The sequence below is a fragment of the Homo sapiens genome, chromosome 6 (assembly GCF_000001405.40).
Source record: "Homo sapiens chromosome 6, GRCh38.p14 Primary Assembly".
NCBI classification, from domain to species: domain Eukaryota; kingdom Metazoa; phylum Chordata; class Mammalia; order Primates; family Hominidae; genus Homo; species Homo sapiens.
Genome location: NC_000006.12, coordinates 134379297 through 134399306, shown reverse-complemented (window position 1 = coordinate 134399306; position 20010 = coordinate 134379297). Strand labels below are relative to the sequence as shown.

At 39.6% G+C, this 20010-nt stretch overlaps 1 pseudogene, besides 1 other annotated feature; it reads left to right on the top strand.

Annotated features, from left to right (window-relative positions):
* On the top strand, positions 5798–6165 carry CHCHD2P4 (coiled-coil-helix-coiled-coil-helix domain containing 2 pseudogene 4; annotated as a pseudogene).
* Positions 18755–18814: a silencer, noted in NCBI's record as "silent region_17559". NCBI's record gives its function as "represses an Ori minimal core promoter by ATAC-STARR-seq in GM12878 lymphoblastoid cells {active_cell/tissue: GM12878}" and the evidence as "EXISTENCE:reporter gene assay evidence [ECO:0000049][PMID:35858748]".

Genomic DNA, 20010 nt, shown 5'->3' with positions numbered 1-20010 from the left:
TGCCTTCGCCTCCTAAAGTACTGGGATTACAGGTATGAGCCACTGTACCTGGCCATTTGCTTTTCTTTGCTTAATGGTTATCACGTAAAATAGAAGTTATCAGAATTTCTTCTTTTGTGGAGCACAAACCTTTAGCAATACTACAAACAAAATATATATCTCTGTGAGTTGAATATTTTATTCTTTCCAATTATCAACAATAAATAATAAATATAAGTCAAGCGTACTATAAGATTGAATTACATTTCTATTTTCTTCATGGAAAATGATTTTTTAAAGCCAACACGTTAACAGAAAAATCAAAGTATGCTGCCAAAATATGTAAGTAAGAAAGTATTGTAGAGGTGAATCAAGCCGTTAGTTAATAATAAATATTACGGTTTTTCTGGATTTTGTGATGTTTGTAGTATTTGTCATATTTTTAAATTGTAATATGTTGAGATTTCTTTTCTAACTCTAAATAAATGTTTACTTTTATAACGACTTTTATATACTTATCTTAGTCCATTTTCACACTGCAATAAAAAACTGCCTGAGGCTGGGTCATTTATAAAGGAAAGTGGTTTAATTGACTCACAGTTCCACGTGGCTGGGGAGGCATCAGGAAATTTACAGTCATGGTGAAAGGCAAAGGGGAAGTGAGGCCGTCTTACATGGTGGCAGGAGAGAAAAAGAGCAAAGCGACAACTGCCAAACATTTTTAAACCACCAGATCTCATGAGAACTCACTCACTATCATGAGACCAGCGTGTGGGAAACCGCCCCCATGATCCAGTCACCTCCCAGGAAGTCCCTACCCTGACACAAGGGGACTACAGTTCAAGATGAAATTTAGATGGGGACACAGAATCAAACCGTATCAATACTTTTTCTTTTTTCTTTTATTTCTTAATTGATGTATAATGATTGTACACATTTATGGGGTACATAGTGCTGTACATGTAATGTTTAGTGATCAGATCTCAAACGTTTATTATTTTTTGTGTTGAGAACATTTGATATCCTCCTAGCCATTTGACACTACATATTATTACTAATTATAGTCATCCTACAGTGAAATAAAACACTGGAACTTGTTTCTCCTATCTAGCTGTAACTTTGTATCCTTTCAAAAATCTCTCATCATCCTCCTTCCTCTTACCCTTCCCAGCCTCAGGTATCTTCTATACTACTTTTTACTTCTATGAAATCAACTTTTTATATACTTTTTATTAAAGAAGTTCTACAAAATTGCATAAACATAGGCCCTACAAAACCTGGATCCATCTGTAATATCAGGCATCCCTTTGGAAGAATATTTTTGCCGCAATGTCCTCTAGAAGGGTAAGTAAGATTACATTTAATACTTTAATCTCTGGCAACGTTTACTTCCAAAACAATGTGCAAACAGGTTATGAGATCACTTTCTGAAGAAGTCACCACCCATGGGTACAACCAGTGAAGCAGACGCAGGCAAAATCGGCCATGAAACTAGGAGCAGGTGCTATCTCCGGTATCCAGATGGGTGGGCATCTGCCCTGAGGGCCCAGTGATCCACAGTTAACATCATTTTCTTTACTTCCCCTAAACTAAGTCTCCTAGAAGCTACATTTAGGACCTAAAAAAAAAAAAAAAAAAAAAAAAAAAAAGTGAAACAAGTCCACTTCTCTGAAATATGCTCTTTACATGAAAACAAAGAGCCACAGTTACCCACCAGCAGCTATTATTCATTTATAGGTAAGTAGATAAGTAGGTAGGTAGGTAGGTAGGTAGATAAGTAAGTAGGTAGATAGATGATAGATAGATAGATAGATAGATAGATAGATAGATAGATAGACAGATAGACAGATAGTACTAGAGAAAACATGCGCAGATGTTAAATCTCCTCCTCTTATATGCAATTCAACATTTTCCCAAACTGATTCCACAGCTCTTCCGATTCGTGCTGTGTGTCCAGAATACTCTGTCCTGCATGAGCTGACTTTAGGGACTACAGATATGCACTTCTATGCTCTGCTCTGGAAACACAAACAAGTGCTATTAGCCTTTAATTGCTTCAGTAAGTGACAAAAAGCCTGCAGGACTGAGTTGTGGTGGTAGAAGTTATTTTCACTCACATCACACAACAAGCAATAGCTTTTGAAGGAAGAATGTGAAAAGCTTCATGAGAGAGGATGGGTGTGGAAAAATGAGGGGCAAGGGGGATGACAGTGGCAGAGTGGAGAGGGATCGTGAGACAGCGGCATGGCCAAGTTGGGGCAAGCTCAGTGAGAAGCGGCTAAAGTGCCTGGGGAGGGTGGCCACCATTTGCCTCTCTCACAAGTTTGGGCCTGAATGCACCTGCATCTGGATTTTCTGTGATCCCCCAGAAGGAGCAGCTCAATCCTATATAATCATCCAGAGAATTTCCCAAGGCTGAGGCGGGGCAGTGCAGCTGGAATCTGTGTCTCTGTGTCAACACTCTTCAATCCAGGAGTTTTAATTGTCTAAAGCGTCTCTATGTGGCCCTAGAATCGGTTGTCTTTTCTGCTCTTGAGTCCATTTGGGGCCTTCTCCTTAGAGAGCCACCAAGGAAAAATCAGAAAAGGTGACAAGAGGCCAGGCACAGCAGCTCATGCCTGTAATCCCAGCACTTTGGGAGTCTGAGGCGGGCGGGTCACTTGAGGCCAGAAAGTCAAGACCAGTCTGGCCAACATGTTGAAACCCCATCTCTACTAAAAATACAAAAACGAGCCAGAAGTGGTGGTGCATGCCTGTAATCCCAGCTACTCAGGAGACTGAGGCACGAGAATCACTTGAACCTGTGAGGCGAAGCTTGCAATGAACTGAGATTGCGCCACTGCACTGCGGCCTGTGCAACACAGAGAGACCCTGGAAAGAAGGAAAGAAAGAAAGAAAGAAAGAAAGAAAGAAAGAAAGAAAGAAAGAAAGAAAGAAAGAAAGAAAGAAAGAAAGAAAGAAAGAAAGAAAGAAAGAAAGAAAGAAAGAAAGAAAGGAAAGAAAGGAAAGAAAGAAAGAAAGAAAAAAAGAAAGAAAGAAAGAAGGAAAGAAAGAAAGAAAGAAAGAAAGAAAGAAAGAAAGGAAAGAAAGGAAAGAAAGAAAGAAAGAAAAAAAGAAAGAAAGAAAGAAGGAAAGAAAGAAAGAAAGAAAGAAGAAAGAAAGAAAATAAAAGAAAGAAAGGAAGGAGGGAAGGAAGGAAGGAAAGAAAGCGGGGGAGAGGGAGGGAGGAAGGAAGAAAGGAAAGAAAAAGAAAGAAAAGAAAAGGTGACAAGGTCTGCTTCTGCTTATAAATCTGACCCTACCAAGTGCAGAGGAGAGGTGGGAAGTGGGAAGGAGGTGCTGTTTGTCTGAGCAGGGCACAGAGGAGGTTGGAGAAGGTGAGAAAAAGAAAGAAATGGAAGGCATTCAATGCATCAGCCTTCTCATAGCCCCCACTGAAGCCAGCCTTAGGATTAAGCTGATGTTGTAACCTTCCATGTGTTCTCTTTATTAGTACTAGAGAGAAAAATTCTGACTTCATTTTAATTTTTTATAAATCCATTCAGTGTTAGTGCAATTATTCTATGTTAACATCTTATGTCTGGTCTCCTAGAGTTGAGAAGCAGGAGAAGAAAAGACATGAGGCCCTAGCCTTCCCCAGGTTGGTCCTGGTCCTGCCTTGATCCCTGGAACACTCCTGGAGTAACCTACAGAGAAAGAGAGGAAACTGTCACTAAACCAATCCTCTCCCAATTTCGGATCAACTTCTGGAACCAATAGTTTGTTGCATGATCGTAGGAAATTTGACTTACGGATAAAATAAATGAGTATAGGAAGTAGCTTTTAAACTGTTGTTGTTTTTTTTGTTTTGTTTTGTTTTGTTTTTTTTAATATGGTACACATAAAGTCTTCTATGACCTTGGAAATTTTAGCCTGACTCCATTCTGGCAAAAGAAAACTTACTGTGTGAGAAAGGTTTTTTCAAGGCAAAAACATCATTCTGATGTTTGGGTTAGTCATCCAATTGCTAATATTTGTATAATTAACTCATTTAATTTGCCACTGAAAAGCTACCTTTGTTTACCTGCTGCCATGATGCTGGGCTAAGTCTCATGTTGTAATATCATAATCTTCTAGGTGCAACACAGAGAGTGGCTTCTCTACTGGGTGGTCATTGTAGAGGATTAGCATCTATCCCTCCTCAGGTACATAGTGTAAGATGATCATGGCATTTCCTTTTCCCCTCCACTGACTCATTCAAAAATGGGCAAGTCTCGACTGTTTGAGCTGGTGGAAATGTGGAGTCTTACCCAGGGCTTCTGGTAAAGAACCAATCTCTCCCTCCCCTGGTGATAGTGAACACAACTACTTTTGGCAGCTGGTATTAAGTCAGAGCCCCATCAAAATTTAGTTGCCATACTCAAATTAGAATAATTCAAGAATGATTTAATAATAAAAGGCATTCAAGGGCATGAGCAGGGTACAGTGAAAGCACATAGGACAAAGCAGCACACTAGGACACGGAGCAGGAGAACCATCATCACATCTGTGTCCAAAACCACAATGAGCAGGGTTACCAGAACCCCAGAGAAAGTCGCATAGAGAGGGCCACTGGAGGGGAGCTGTGAACTTGGGTTATGAAAAGTGGTCAATCCAGCCTGACTGCGCAGGGAAGAAGCCAGATGAATAAGTGCCCCAAATTTATTCTCTTATTTCTGTTCAAGTTCCGCAAGCAATCCCCATTAGCTGAATCCAAACAGAAGCCAGGGTGTAAGGGATCTTATTCATGTAAGCCATACAAGTCACAGAGCAGAGAAAGAAGTCCAGAGAGGAGCCTGAAGGAATAACTGAGTGTTCAAGACACCAGCCTCTTATGACTTCAGGAGGAGTCACCTGAGTGTGAAACTGACACTGTAGAAGTCAGAGCAGAGTACCTGGGTACATGAAGACAAGGAACACTAAAGTCTGCCCTATCTTGGACTTCCTGCTACGTAAGTAACACAAGTCTTTCAAGTCTATTATTCAAGTCAGTTTAACTCAGAAAATCTTTAACCTACATTGGCAATTATCTTAATGCTTTTCAAACAGCAAGTGGTAACTCATTAGTGGGTTGTGAAATTATTCCAGTAAGTTAAAACCAGCACTTTTTTTAAATTGAAAGAAAAAAAAGAGTAGAATAGAACATATAAGAGTACATCACACAATAAAAGAATAAGTATCTCTTCCTGAAAATTTTGGTTATGTGTACATGGATATACAAGAAGCTACAGTTCTCTTTATAGTAATAAAATATTTTTCTTTTATTTTTATTTTTTAATGTTTCATGTATATTCAAAGTTGTGCCACTTCCTATGCAAACAAATGCCCCACTCCTAATTTCTGAAGATACTGTAAGAATGACTTGAGAGATTTTTGCACATCCAGACGCCAAGCTGCAGTGCACCTAGGATGCCATGTGGAAGCCAGAGCCGCACCTCCCGCGTGGCCATTCAGGCCAGCCGGGTATCTCACATGAGAACCGCACTCATGGCTGGGCGTGGTTGCTCACGCCTGTAATCCCAGCACTTTGGGAGGCCAAGATGGGTGGATCACCTGAGGTCAGGAGTTTGAGACCAGCCTGGCCAACATGGGGAAATCCTGTCTCTACTAAAAATACAAAAATTAGCCTGACATGATGGCACGCGCCTGTAATCCCAGCTACTCAGGAGGCTGAGGCAGGAGAATCACTTGAATTCAGGAGGCAGAGGTTGCAGTGAGCCGAGATCTCACCACTCCACTGCACTTCAGCCTGGGTGACTGAGTGAGACTTGATCTCAAAAAAAAAAAAAAAAAGAACTAAAGAACTACAGCCAGGCCAGCACCAGCAGCTCAGCTGCCAGCAGCGGCATCCCCCTTTGCAGCTGGCCCTCCTGCTGCTGGGCCCAGGCAGCCAGGTCTGATGGCCCGGATAGCAACCACTGGAGCTGGCGTGGGGTACACGGTGGGTCATACCATCACTGGGGGCTTCAATGAAGGAAGTAATGCTGAGCCTGCAAGTCCTGACATCACCTACCAGGAGCCCCAGGGAACCCAGATGTCACAGCGGCAGCAGCCTTGCTTCTATGAGATAAAACCGTTTTTGGAGTGTGCCCGGAACCGGGTGACATAAAGCTCCGTGAGGGTTTCAGTGAGGTGCTGAAACAGTGCAGACCTGCAAATGGATTGGCCCAATCGAGAAGTTCAAATTGGAGAAATGGAAAATCAGCTCTCATAACCAAGTTAATTTAGTATAAAAATATAATTAATAATGAAGAGATAAAGAGTAACCATCAGTTAAACCTCTCAGGTGTCATTCATAGCTTTCTTCCTTCAGAATTAAAATGGAAGACGCTGTTCTTACTATGTAGAATTTCATTAAGATGGTGAGGAATTTAGGGCTGGGCCAATGTTTGTGTGGCCTCCTTAAACTAGCTGTTATGATTTTATTCTGTTAAACTAGCTGTTATTATTTTATTTGTGTGTTACTTAGAATAAAGTGATCGTCTTCCAAAAATAAGAATGACTTGAGTTCCAAGCCTTATGCTAATAGTAACTGATTTCTTTTATCCTGATTCTAAAGTTTTCTCTAATGAGACTCTTGAGTGTTTTCATTACAGGTCTCATTCACTGGCCCTTATTGTAAAACTCTTCCTGGCTGAGCGTGGTGGCTCTTGTCTGTATTCCTAACACTTTCGGAGGCCACGGTGGGAGAATTGCTTGAGGCCGGGGGTTTGAGACTAGCCTGAGCAACATAGGGAAATCCCATCTCTACAAAAATGAAAAGAATTAGCCATGTGTAGTGGCATGCACCTGTGGTCCCAGCTACTTGGGAGGCTGAGGTGGGAGGGTCACTTGGGCCTGGAGGTGGAGGCTGCAATGAGCTATGATTGTGCTACTGCACTCCAGCCTGGGCGACAGAGTGAGACCTTCCTTCTCAAACAAAACAAAACAAAAACAAAACCTCCTGTCAACCAAGCTTGCTATCTTAGGGACCAGGAGTTAATTAATCTGACAGTTCTAAAAAATACAAACTACCCCCAATAGCGACTAGTAAACACTGAACAGAATTTTGCACTCACCTTTGAAAGATTATATTGCAGGAACTTACCAGTTCCTCTTCATCTTATTGTCAGATCATGATCCTACTGCCTGGTGACATAAAACCTTTCAAATTGAAGGGGGTATGGATGGTATATAAATGCTAATGCCCTTAGGAATGCTTTCAGATGCAAGTAACAGAAAGGTAACAAATACATTTAAATAGCTAACAAGCTGTCCAGAGGTGGGCTGTTCCAGTTCCATTTAGGGAACAGGAGCTCAAAATGACATCAAGGATTCAGGCTCTTTTTATATTTTTACTCTGCCATCTTTAGTACATTGGCTTATTATCCAGTCATCTTGTCACTTCTTGGTTACAGAAAGATCAATGCAGCTCCAAGCAAGTTATCCTTACTTAGTTACTTCTAAGACAAGAAGAAAGCTTTGGGGTGCAAAGGACTTTTCATAAATCTCTATATTTCTAACCAGGAAGAAAATCTGTCAATGCTGCTTCTTGGTTAGCGGAGGGAAAAAAAAAATATTTCCGAGATACCTCCCACCCCCTGCCAACACATTTTACGTTACATCTTTTCAGCCAGAAATTGGCCCCCCTGCCAAATGTTAGAACAAACAATAGCAAGGGGGAACTGAATGACCGTGACTGGCTAAGATCTATGAGATTCATTCCCTGGAGTTCACCACCTGCCTTGAGTTTTAGAGATCCTAACAAAATCAGGATTCTGTGGTTTGCAAGGAGAAAGTGGTTATTGGATGAGCAAGCAACAGTGCCTTTCATAATACCTTTCCCCTCTCATTCTGCTAGCAAAATTGGACTGCCTCATCAGAGGAGGCAGAATGATTTTTGTCGTGTTGTAATGTCAGCTCATTGGAAAGGCTCTCAGGAAAATAGGTCACCAGTGCACTTTCTCTGCACTAGGTAATAGGAAAAAATAAAGAGAAAAAACTGAGGTGGCAGGGACAAGTGACTTGATAGTTTTAAACCTTTGCTTCAGCAGGAGAGGCTTTAACTAAAGACTTTTTATGCCAAATGCCTACTAGAGTGAGACTAATGATGTACCAACCTCTAAACATTCAGGTTTATGAGTCAATTAGAACAAATGGCTAAGGACATTTCGGATTTTGCTTGAATTTCCTGCACATGCATGTGCCACAAAATCTTAACAATTCCAAATGGCCCTATTATGTGACCATGTATGCATCTCTGTTTAAACAGATATGAAGTAATGACTAAATTAGTTACTTACTTGGTTGGCATTCATCTGAATGTGTCTTTCCAATAGATCACTACTTTATTCAGAATTAAATACCATAAATTCAAAACTGCTCACTTGCATAGTGTAAAGTTTGCTTAGATGCTTTTATCGAGACTAGCTCTTTGTCTTTTGATGGATCAAAGCTATTTTATTCAAACTGAATACCAGCTGCAAACAGTGGCTCATGCCTGTAATCCCAACACTTTTGGAGGCCAAGGCAGGAGGATTGCTTGAGGTAGGAGAACCTGAGCCACATAGTAAGTCCCTGACTCTACAGAATAAAAATAAATAAATAAATATCTGAATACCAGTTTGATCAGTGTTTTGCTAAAATGTTTTAATTATTAGATACATGTTCTAACCTAAATATAACTTTCTAACAGGTATTGCTGCATTGCCAAGAACTCAGAGAAGTTACTCTATGGAGTACTATTAGCATAACTCATGTAATGTTTAAACTTGCCTTGGACTGAGATGTTCATGCTGGCAGATATTGTGTAGTGATAACAGCCAATAGATACAGATCACTTACTTGAGGAGGCATTGTACCAGGCATTTTCCAGACATGTGCTCATTTAATTCTTACAAGTCTGGGAAATAGGCATTACTTTCAGCATTGTTATGTATGAGGTTAACTTTTTAGAAAGATTATTTAAATATTCTGTGGTCATTTTTATCATAAATTTAAAAATACTGTATTGTTAATTGTCAAATATTTTGAAGCCATCATTATAAAGCTGTTAGACTGAATCAGGTATTTTAAATTTGTTGTAGTCCATGGAGATTACAGTTATAATTTATTTAGTTTGTTTAGACTATTAAAGTTCTTTGATTACAAACAAGAGAAACAGATTCGAGATAACATAAGTAAACTGAAACATATTGGAAGGGAGTAGCTTACAGAATCAAAGGTGAACAACTGGATCATGGGAAGAATAAGAAATAGAGTAATTTCCAGCATCCAGATGGCAGGCATGAGTGGGCCCATTTCTTCAGGAACATGCCAGAGGGATGATCAGCTCCAATCTCTTCCTGATCGCCTGGCTCGCAACTGGAATTTGTGAGGTTGAATCTGATTGGCCTCACTTGGGCCACATGACACTGTTTTTCAGGGGAGGACACGAATCTTGATTATTGGCACAAACTAGGAAAGGGGTAATTCCCCAAGGAAAAAGAAAGGTGCTGCTTCCAGAAAAGAGTGGGTGCTGGGACTGGGAAAAACACCAGATGTCCATTACAATATGTGACAGAGTTGTGATTCAAACCTCAAACCACTGGCTGGGTGTGGTGGCTTATGTCTGTAATCCCAGCACTTTGGGAGGCCAAGGTAGGTAGATCACTTGAATCCAGGAGTTCAAGACCAGCTTGGGCAACATGGTGAAACCCTGTCTCTATTAAAAAAATAAAATAAAATAAAACTTCAAATCACTCCAAAATTCTTTTCTCTTAATAATTTTCTTATTTTTAAAATCATTCATAGGCAAAATAATCCTAATGGAGCAAAATGAGATAAATATACAATAATTATTATATATAGCTTGGCAGTGCTATATGCAAATTCAGTGATAGCAGTGCTCACAGCAAGGTCTTGGGGGAATTCAATGGCAGGTCCTGCTGATGGTTTTGTCATCTTCTCTGCTGGTCTCCATTATGCCACAACCCATTTGGGAAACCGTTTAGCAGCCAGACTGGCGCAATCAACCAAATCTGGGATCAATGAGCTGTCTCATTTCTTAGCCCAATTGCGGAAGTGTGTACTTCCTATTTTTAGTGGGCTGACTCCAGAAAATTAACATTATTGCTACTATTAATATCATCCAGAAGTTTCCTTAGTGGTTCACTGTTTCAATATTAGCCCTTGGAAACAAAATACCACCTTATATTTTAAAATTTCCAAGTTCCTTTTTGAAGACAAGACTTATTTTTGCACGGAATTCCCATAGTTTCTATGAATGTCTGAAGAGACAACTTAGGTTATAAAATTTTGCTTTCGGCCAGGCACGGTGGCTCACACCTGTAATCCCAGCACTTTGGGAGGACGAAGTGGGTGGATCACAAGGTCAAGAGATCGAGACCATCCTGGCCAATACAGTGAAATCCCGTCTCTACCAAAAATACAAAAATTAGCTGGGTGTGGTGATGCATGCCTGTAGTTCCAGCTACTCGGGAGGCTGAGGCAGGAGAATCGCTTGAACTCAGGAGACGGAGGTTACAGTGAGCTGAGATCGCGCCACTGCACTACTCCAGCCTGGCAACAGAGTGAGGCTCCGTCTCAAAAAAAAATTTTTGCTTTTTAAGCTACAGACATGTTTCAATTTGTAAAGTAGCCACCTGAAAAGCCCTATAATATTTGAAAATTCTCTCCATTCAATATCTTTGTTCTTTGGAGCTGTAAGGTGTATTATTTTGAAATGCCTGAAGACTTCATTTAGAACCATGAAATCAGGCTTCCTATTTTCTCAGAATATTGTCTGTGCTTTGGTCCAACTTGGTCCTGGTGAATAAAATCAAACAACTAAGTTCTAGCAAAAAAGAAAGAAAAGAAGGAAGGGGAAAAATAATCTGAAAATTATTCTTCTCTACCATCCATTGAACCTGTTAAGACACAGGGTGGGGTATATGTCTACACACACAGTCTTAATTGATGGACAAGATAATTACTGCTAGAAATAAATGAAGAAAATGAAGAGACAAAGGGGTAAAAAGAGCCATGGCATTGCTCCAATGAAGCAGACTCAAGTAGTGCTGTATTGAAGCATTTAATTATCCAGTTGCTAGTTTTACAGGGGCCTCTGAAGGCTCAGTTAGACTTAACAAACTGAAGGGCTAAGAATATTGCTGTAGATCTAGGTTACAGGGGTTTGAATCTGAGTTCTATTGTTTAATAGCTATTGAACAAAATCAAATTATACCATGTTACCTCTGTGGGCCTTAGTTTTCTCATATGTAAAATGGGGATAATAAAGCCACCTACTACATAGGAGTGTGTGTGTGTGTGTGTGTGTGTGGGTGTGTGTGTGTGAGAGAGAGAGAGAGAGAGAGAGACAGTGAGAGAGAGAGAGAAAAAAAATACTTCTAGGGTACTTGGAATGGTACCTGGATGTTATATTATTGTATCTGTAGGTAGGATATTGTGGAACCATGAAAACTGTGTCATAGAAACAGTTATCTACTGGCATGTAGAAAGATTTATTATAAAATCGCATATAGAGCATGAATCTAATTTTATTTGTTATATATATTCATTAAAAAAAGTTTAAACCATGTAGTATTAACAGTGGTTATCTCTGAGTGGTAGGGTTATCTTGAGTGATAGTATTATGAGTGATATTTATTTTATTCATTGTGCTCCTTCATAGTTTCCAAATTTGAACAAATGAACCTAATTGACTTTATAACCAGGAAAAAAACTATACATATAACAAGCATTTAAAAAATTGATTCTCTCTAAGTAAAAAAAATTGAAATCAAGTGGAAAAAGGCCGTCCCATTTTGATGGATCACGGTCAAAGATAAAACAGTCTCATTGCAGAGGAGCAAAAAAACTCTAAGGCTCAATCCAAGGTATCTGAAGAGAAAAGAGAACAATATGGGATTCAGATTAAAATGTGTATGATCTTAACCGCAAAACAAAAAATGTGTGACCTTACATAAGCAAATCAATATCCATGACCGTCAGCTCCTCATTTCTAAGTTCAGGCTAGTTGGTGGCTGAATTGAATGGGCAATGTATGAAGTATATAAAGAGTTAAGCACACAGAAAGCATTCAGTAATAATACCTCTATCTTATAACAGTCCATTTTGTATCTTCACTACTCACTAAATAAAAAATATAAGAAAATTATATATAGCTTCCTGCCATAAACTGGAAATTAAGTAAGGTCATAAATGTAATAAATAAATAAACAATCTTTATTACATTTATTAGTATTTGAGTCCAGAGTTCAAGAATGGGCTCCATTTTTTTAAAGAAACTATCTCTAGCTGGTCTCTATTTATTTATTTATTTTTATTTTTTGTTATACTTTAAGTTCTAGGGTACATGTGCACACCTTGCAGGTTTGTTACATACGTATACATGTGCCATGTTGGTGTGCTGCACCCATTAACTCGTCATTTACATTGGGTATTTCTCCTAATGCTCTCCCTCCCGCAGCCCTCCACCCCGTGACAGGCCCTGGGGTGTGATGTTCCCCTTCCTGTGTCCAAGTGTTCTCATTGTTCAATTCCCACCTATGAGTGAGAAAATGCGGTGTTTGGTTTTTTGTTCCTGTGTTAGTTTGCTCAGAATGATGGTTTCTACCTTCATCCATGTCCCTGCAAAGGACATGAACTCATCCTTTTTTATGGCTGCATAGTATTCCATGGTGTATATGTGCCACATTTTCTTAATCCAGTCTATCATTGATGGACATTTGAGTTCGTTCCAAGTGTTTGAGTTCATCTCAAAACGTATGTCCTCTGGGACAAGACCTACCAGGCGTATGTATGGCTGTAGCAAGCTCCCTAGCAAATCCCTGGAAGCTGAAGAGGTAGTTGTTGCTCCCACTGGCTTTCTTCCCATCTTCATTTGACTCACTTGCTCAGCTTCCATCAAAGGGTCACAAGGACCCCCTTAGGTTGGACAGGCTGCCCTTTGGGGCACTTTCCTCCAAATCAGGCATTTACCCAGACTCTGCAATTCTTTAGGATATTATAGTCTGCCCAGCCAAGAGGTATCGGTAGTTTTTTGTTTTGTTTTTCTTTATTAGACAGGGTCTTTGTTTGTTGCCCAGGCTGGAATGCAGTGGCACAATCCTAGCTCACTGCAGCCACAAACTCCTGAGCTCAAGGGATTCTCTTCACTCAGCCTTCCAATTAGCTAAGACTACAAGTGTATGCCACCATGCCTGGCTTTTTTCTTTGCTTTTTTTTTTTTTTTTTTTTTCCTTCCTTCCTTCCTTCCTTTCTTCCTTCCTTCCTTCCTTCCTTCCTTCCTTCCTTCCTTCCTTCCTTCCTTCCTTCCTTCTTTCTTTCTTTTTTCTTTCTTTCTTTCTTTCTTTCCTCTTTTTTTTTTTTTTTTTTGCCTAGGCCGGTCTTGAACTCCTGGCCTCAAGCAATCCTGGCACTTCAGCATCCCAAAGTGCTGGGATTACAGACCTGAGCCACCTTACTCAGCCTTTCTGTTGTTTTGTTGTTGTTGTTGTTATTAACCCTTTTGTGTTTGCATAGTTTTTTGAGTGCCTTGAGGGAAAGATACTTGATAAAATACAAGGTGTTACACAAACATCCACATAGCACAGTAACTTTATAAGAGCTGTTAAACAGAAAAAAAAAATCTGTGCCACTGAACCTCCTTTCTATCTGGCAAGGGCAAACTCAAAAGCACAGATGGGTCAGGAAAGTAACATGAGGGAAGGTGGTCAGTTGAATAGTGTTCGGGTGAGTCTGAGTCCATGACCCATCTAAAACGGGTGGCATCCAGCCACCCTCCCACGGGGCAATGCTGCCCAGGGCTGCCAAATCTCCCAGGTGCCAAAAATCAGATTTTTATATGCAAATTTTCACTTCAACAAATCCAATTTTTGGTTGCTGTTTAAACCCTGTGAGAGCCAAACCCAAACAAATCTATGGGCCAGAGGTAGGTGGTTGGAGGAAGACAGAGACAGGCACATGATATTTTGCATTTGGTTAAAGTGACTCTACTTTTGAATTAATTTTTACTTCTAGCCTATTGAAATCAATCAGAACTGACTGAGTATAATGTTTACCAGTGCCTCACCTAGTCTGTGCTTGGCAACAGCTTCATCCTTAAGATGAAGATGAGATGTGGGCAATAACAGCCTAGTCTTATTCTAGATACTCTTAGTCCTCATACACATAAACTTACAAGCATAGCCCAAAACACTCAGAAGCATCTGGAAAGCGCAGTTCCTATGTCTGCATCACCTGTTGGAGTATTGTTTTTCCTGGACTTTTTTTCAGAAAATAGCTTCGATGTAACATAGAGATTCAAGAGGACTAGTGAATATATCTGCTTCTGACCAAAGTCTCTTTGGGCAGTGCAGTGTCTGATTTTGATTCTGATAATGCAGCAATTTCTCAAGTATGGCAGAGCATGTAAAAGGCTCTAGATATTTAAGCTTGAAATGCCAAAAAGAAATACATGAAACTAGCCTGGGTTGAATAGTATATGGGAAGAGAAAATTAGTGGGCACACCAGCAATATATTACTTTTTTAGAGACAGGTCTTTCTGTGTTGCTCAGGTTAGATGCAGTGGCTATTCAGAGGCACAATCATGGGAAGAAGATCTTTTTCCTCAAGTCAGGTTAGTTAAAGCCACTCTCAGTAGAAACACTGTGGTCCCAAAAAAGGCACTGATGTCAGAGAGTAAATAGGGTCCTTGGAAGGATAATGACACTCCTGACCTAAGCCTTCATTGGCTGTTGTGGAAACCGTCAATATTACTGCTGATTATATTTTATTATTTTATTTTATTTTTGAGACAGAGTCTAGCTCTGTTGCCTAGGCTGGAGTTCAGCAACACTAACTTGGCTCACTGTAACATCTGCCTCCTGGGTTCAAGCAATCCTCACACATCAGCCTCCTGAGTAGCTGGGATTACAGGTGTGCACCACCATGCCCAGCTAATTTTCTGCATTTTTATAGAGATGGGGTTTCACTACGTTGGTTAGACTGGTCTCAAACTCCTGTGCTCAAATGATCCGCCCACCTTGGCCTCCCAAAGTGCTGGGTTTACAGGTGTGAGCCACTGCACACGGTCTACTGCTGATTTTAAAAAGTAAACATTCACAGTAGAACTGTTCCATTATGACATGGCTGATTGATACTTATAGGTATCTACTCTAAGACCAAACAATTCTCTGTGTGTGTTTGCATTACTGGTTTTAAGTCATATTTTTCAAACTGCAGGTCACCACCTATTAGTGGGTCATAAATCAATTTTGTGAATTACAGCCATCACTTAAAAAAATAACATAGAGGAGTTTCTTTTTTTAAGTATCAGAGCACATTACACACACATAGTAAGAAAAAATATTTTTAGTGAAACTTTTATTCAGATACACACACATATATTCTGGATCACAATGAGAAACACATATTCCTTACTGTGGGTCATGGCGAAAGACATTTGAAAAACCCTGGATCATAAGGTAAATTGATATTCCTGTTCCTACTAAAAGCCAGTTGTAAAGGGGAGTTTTCAGTAGTTTTTTATCAAGAGCTAATCTATGCACTCTTTCAATTTGATCTACCCCAATGTTTATGTTTGTTAGGATCAGTGTTGTATTTTTGAAGATGAACACTTGGCAACATTCACTCAGAAAAATACACATATATTTAGTACATAATAACTGTATTTAGTGAAAGACAACTCCCAAATTAAAAAAAAAGAAAGCAAAATCAAAAATAAACTAACAAAATAAAATCAACTGGAAGAATAAATCCAACAAAGGAGATGAACCAGTGGCTTAAAAGAATCTATCATCAAATTTTACTTTCTCTATGTCAGTAACCCAGACCAGTGGCATAAATTCAAAGGCCTGACCTGCCATTTCTCCACCTGAGCAATGGTTTCTAAATAATATCCTGATGACAGTCAATTTGATTTTGAAAAAAACAAACCAAATACATATTCTGTTTAATAATCTTGTTCATCCACCCCAACCATTCCTTATCTAAATGACTCTTTAAAACACACACACACACATACGCATACACACACATATATACACACACACAGAGCCTACAGGTATACATAAATGATTAGGTAAAGCAAAGGGAAACTTGATATAGCCAATCCTCTCTGGGATCCAATTTATTTATCAGCCCACCAAGGTCATAATAGTTATCAAATATTCTGTTTGTTTGGTAATTAGAATACTATGTAGTTAATTAACAAAGCTACCATTAGAGGACATTTCTCACTGCTTTTCATGTTTATTGCATCACGACAGAATAAGAAGATGGTGATGGTACTGTTTCAAGAGTCCAGTTTGCTAAGGCGTACCTGAGATGAGCCTGATATTTATTTTTCTAATGTGGCATACCCACAGGCAATACAGTGTAGAGCTTAGGGCTGTAAGGGACCCACAGGTCATACAGCTTGAACTCTTCATCTTTCTGATGAGAAAAACATGTGGTAATGTCGGCTGGGTGCGGTGGCTCACACCTGCAATCCCAGCACTTTGGGAGGCTGAGGTGGGCAGATCACAAAGTTGGGAGTTCAAGGGCAGCCTATCCAACATGGTGAAGCCCCGTCTCTACTAAAGATACAAAAACTTAGCCAGGCGTGATGGTGGGCGCCTGTAATCCCAGCTACTTGGGAGGCTGAGGCAGGAGAATCACTTGAACCCGGGAGGCGGAGGTTGCAGTGAGCTGAAACAGCACCACTGCACTCCAGCCTGGGGCACAGGGCAAGACTCTGTCTCAAAGAAAAAAAAAAAAATTACGTGGTAAAGTGACCCGCTGCATCCATCAGTAGTGCATTTGCTGTTGCTCTGTAATAACACCCATGTTTGTGTGAGCCTGAACCCCTGTGTTCCATAGAGTCTGCAATTCTACTTTTTGGAGAGAGAGAATGGGCAAAATCTAAGCAGCTGGGACTGCCTTCCACCAGACCTGCTGTATCCAGCCTGCGGAACTGAGCAGCCATCTTGCTGCTTCATGCAGCACATGCTCTGTTGTACAAGCAAAACCGAATGCAGCGAGGCAGGTGAACCACATAGATGGTCTCTGATACACTTCACTTTCTACATTAATCCAAGGACAGTCTGAATCTCCACTCCTGCATCTTAAAGATAAGCTATATAAGTACTGTGTGTGCCTAAATAGGCACGTGCATTCTTTTATACATGAAACATTTATGATGTACTGTGCACGCGCTATGCACCAGGCACAGTGCCAGACCCTTCAGAGAGAACAATAGCAGTGAAAAACAGTAGAATGTTATAAGTGACACCCTTAAGGTACACACATACCATAGTAACTTAAGGGTGTTAGTACAGTATAAAATAGTATAAAATACTGTTTCATGATTTTAGTATTTTAGCATTTAGGATTTTAGTATAAAAATTTATAAAATACATAATATAAACAGTATAAATATTGTAGAGTATAATCATACATACATAAAATTAAATTATACTTATTGTATCCATGTACGTAGGTCTTGAAGTAGGATTCAAAGACTTCAGAGTCACACCAAAATTATTGCCAGCCACCTGAACTTTCACCAGCTAGCCCATATTTTCCAGTTGCAAAAAAAAAAAAAAAAAAAAAAAAAAAAAGTGTCACTAGAAGCAACTTGGAAGAATTTAGAAATCTAAACCGGGCTTTGTGCCCCAGTTTTACTGTCTACTAGCTGAGTGACCTTGGGTACATTCCTCAATCTCCCTGATCAGCAATTGCTCTTCTCTTAAGCAAGCAGTAGATGGTATCTACCTTATATGCTTGTCAAGAAGACTAAGAGGATGCTTGAGTGCAGAATGGCAGCGTAGCTAAAAAGCAGGTTACTTCATCTCTCTGTGCTTCACTGCCTTTCTTGTAAAATTAGGATAATAGTAGAATCCATGTCATCCAATTGCTGTGCAAATTAAATGAGATAATGACACATCTAATGCCAAATAAATTGTAGTCATTATACGAAAGTGTTATGTTAACTATAAAATGCTAGATAAAAGTGAAATACTACTATTAAAGTTGAGCTCAGTCAAAAGAAGAATAGGAACAAAAATCATTCCAAGGTGCTACATATCCATGTGGTGCCTCAAATCTCAAGTTTTCAGGCTCAGCACTCTTTTGGAGGTTTAAATACAGTAGCTGCTTTTGCTACGGTTGTAATGTCATACAGCTCCCTGCTGAAGGTATCTTCCTTTTTGTAGTCTCTCCCCTCATCTTCTCTATTTCTTTCTAAATCACTTCTCAAAGCATAATTCTTTAAGGCTCAGTGTAACTATTTATGTTAGTCCTGTGCATATACAGAAAGAGCAGGTGAGGTAATGACAAGGCTGTCCATCTTAGAAGATGGATGATGTTTATTCTTCCTATTCTTTAAAGCAGTAAATTTTTCATCTTTAAAATGTTGCATCCTCAAAATGAGTTAGGGCAGCATGAGAATAACTTGGAAACTGAAAGCTTATCTGGGTAGAAGGGATGCAATTACCTACAGAATTTCAAATTATAAAAAGAAGGCTCCATATATTTTTCTTGGATTTTTGTTTGTTTGTTTATCTCTGAGCGCTGGAGAATTCCTGCTTTAGTGAGGATTGAAAATTGAGTGTTAGGCTATCTTTAGACTCATTTGAAAAAAATTGTTCAATTTAGGTAAATAATTCATTGGCAGCTGGACATAGTGGCTCACGCCTGTAATCCTAGCACTTTGGAAGGCTGAGGCGGGCAGATTGCTTGAGGCCAAGAGTTCAAGTCCAGCCTGGCAACATTGCGAAACCTCGTCTCCACAGAAAATACAAAAAAATTAGCCTGGTGTTGTGGTGAACGCCCACAGTCCCAGCTACAGAGGCGCTGAGGTGGGAGGATCATCTGAGCCCAGGAAGTTGATGCTGCAGTGAGCTGAGATCATGCCACTGCACTCCAGCCTAGGCGTCAGAGTGAGAGCCTGGCTCAAATAAATAAATAAATAAATAATAATCCATTGGCTATTTTATTTGATTTTACCCATTCAAATAAACATTTAAAAAATAACCAGTTTTTTTTTTTTTTTTTTTTTTGCCAGAATTCATTTTGTTCCTGTTTATACAATAGTTTGTATATGTAGACAAAACTTAATACCTTGTTTGGTAGAAGAAAATGGGCATAACTAGAACATCAGCATTCCTCAATTCCAAACTTGTTCAGTCAATAGTAAGCAAGAGTGTATGAAGATGCACAGGTATTTAGCTTAAACTTTCATAAAGAAAAAGACTACCCATGCTTTTAAATTACTGGCCTTATGATTTTTGAAATACAAGAAGAAAAAAAAAAACAAAAAAGAAGAAGAGAAGGAGGAGGAGAAGAAGGAAGAAGGAAAAGGTTATTTCAAAGCATGGAAAGAAGCAAATGAGAGTCAGGTAAAAATTTCAACTTCAGTAATCCTAATATGCACTTCTGTGCCTGTTGCATAGTTGGAAGACAATTACTTTGGCTTTCACACTTTCCAGTGAAAAGGGCTATTCTGACTTAGCCGTCCTGGAAACACCTGCATCTGTTGTGTAATATTAATGAACTTGAATTTGGAGTGCTAGCACTGTACCTCTCTCTATGAATAATAGGGCACACATAAATGATTAAAACAAGGGAAACAGAAACCTCCCCAGGATCAAATTCATTTATCAGCCCACCAAGGTCACTGACCTCAATAACCCAGGGCCTAGCTACTAAAATGATTAATTGATCTATTCTTTCATTTCACTTATTTAATTTGAAGAGGGCTGAAGTGAAAATATTTTCAATGAATTGACCTGTAAGCAATTGTATTTAGCTTGCTGCATCATCCAAAACACATATTAGTGGCAGTGAGAAGCATGAATACATGCTATTAAACAGATAAAGGTGAACAAAGAAACCACAGTGAGACAGGAGAATAGGGTGTGGAGGCCGGGAAACTAAGGCCGATTTGTGCTGACTTCCTATAACTGAATCAAAAGGAAAACCCCACCTCTACACACTGAAGTAACAAAAGGATCAGAGGCTACTCCCTTTGCACTGTGTGGCAGATGATA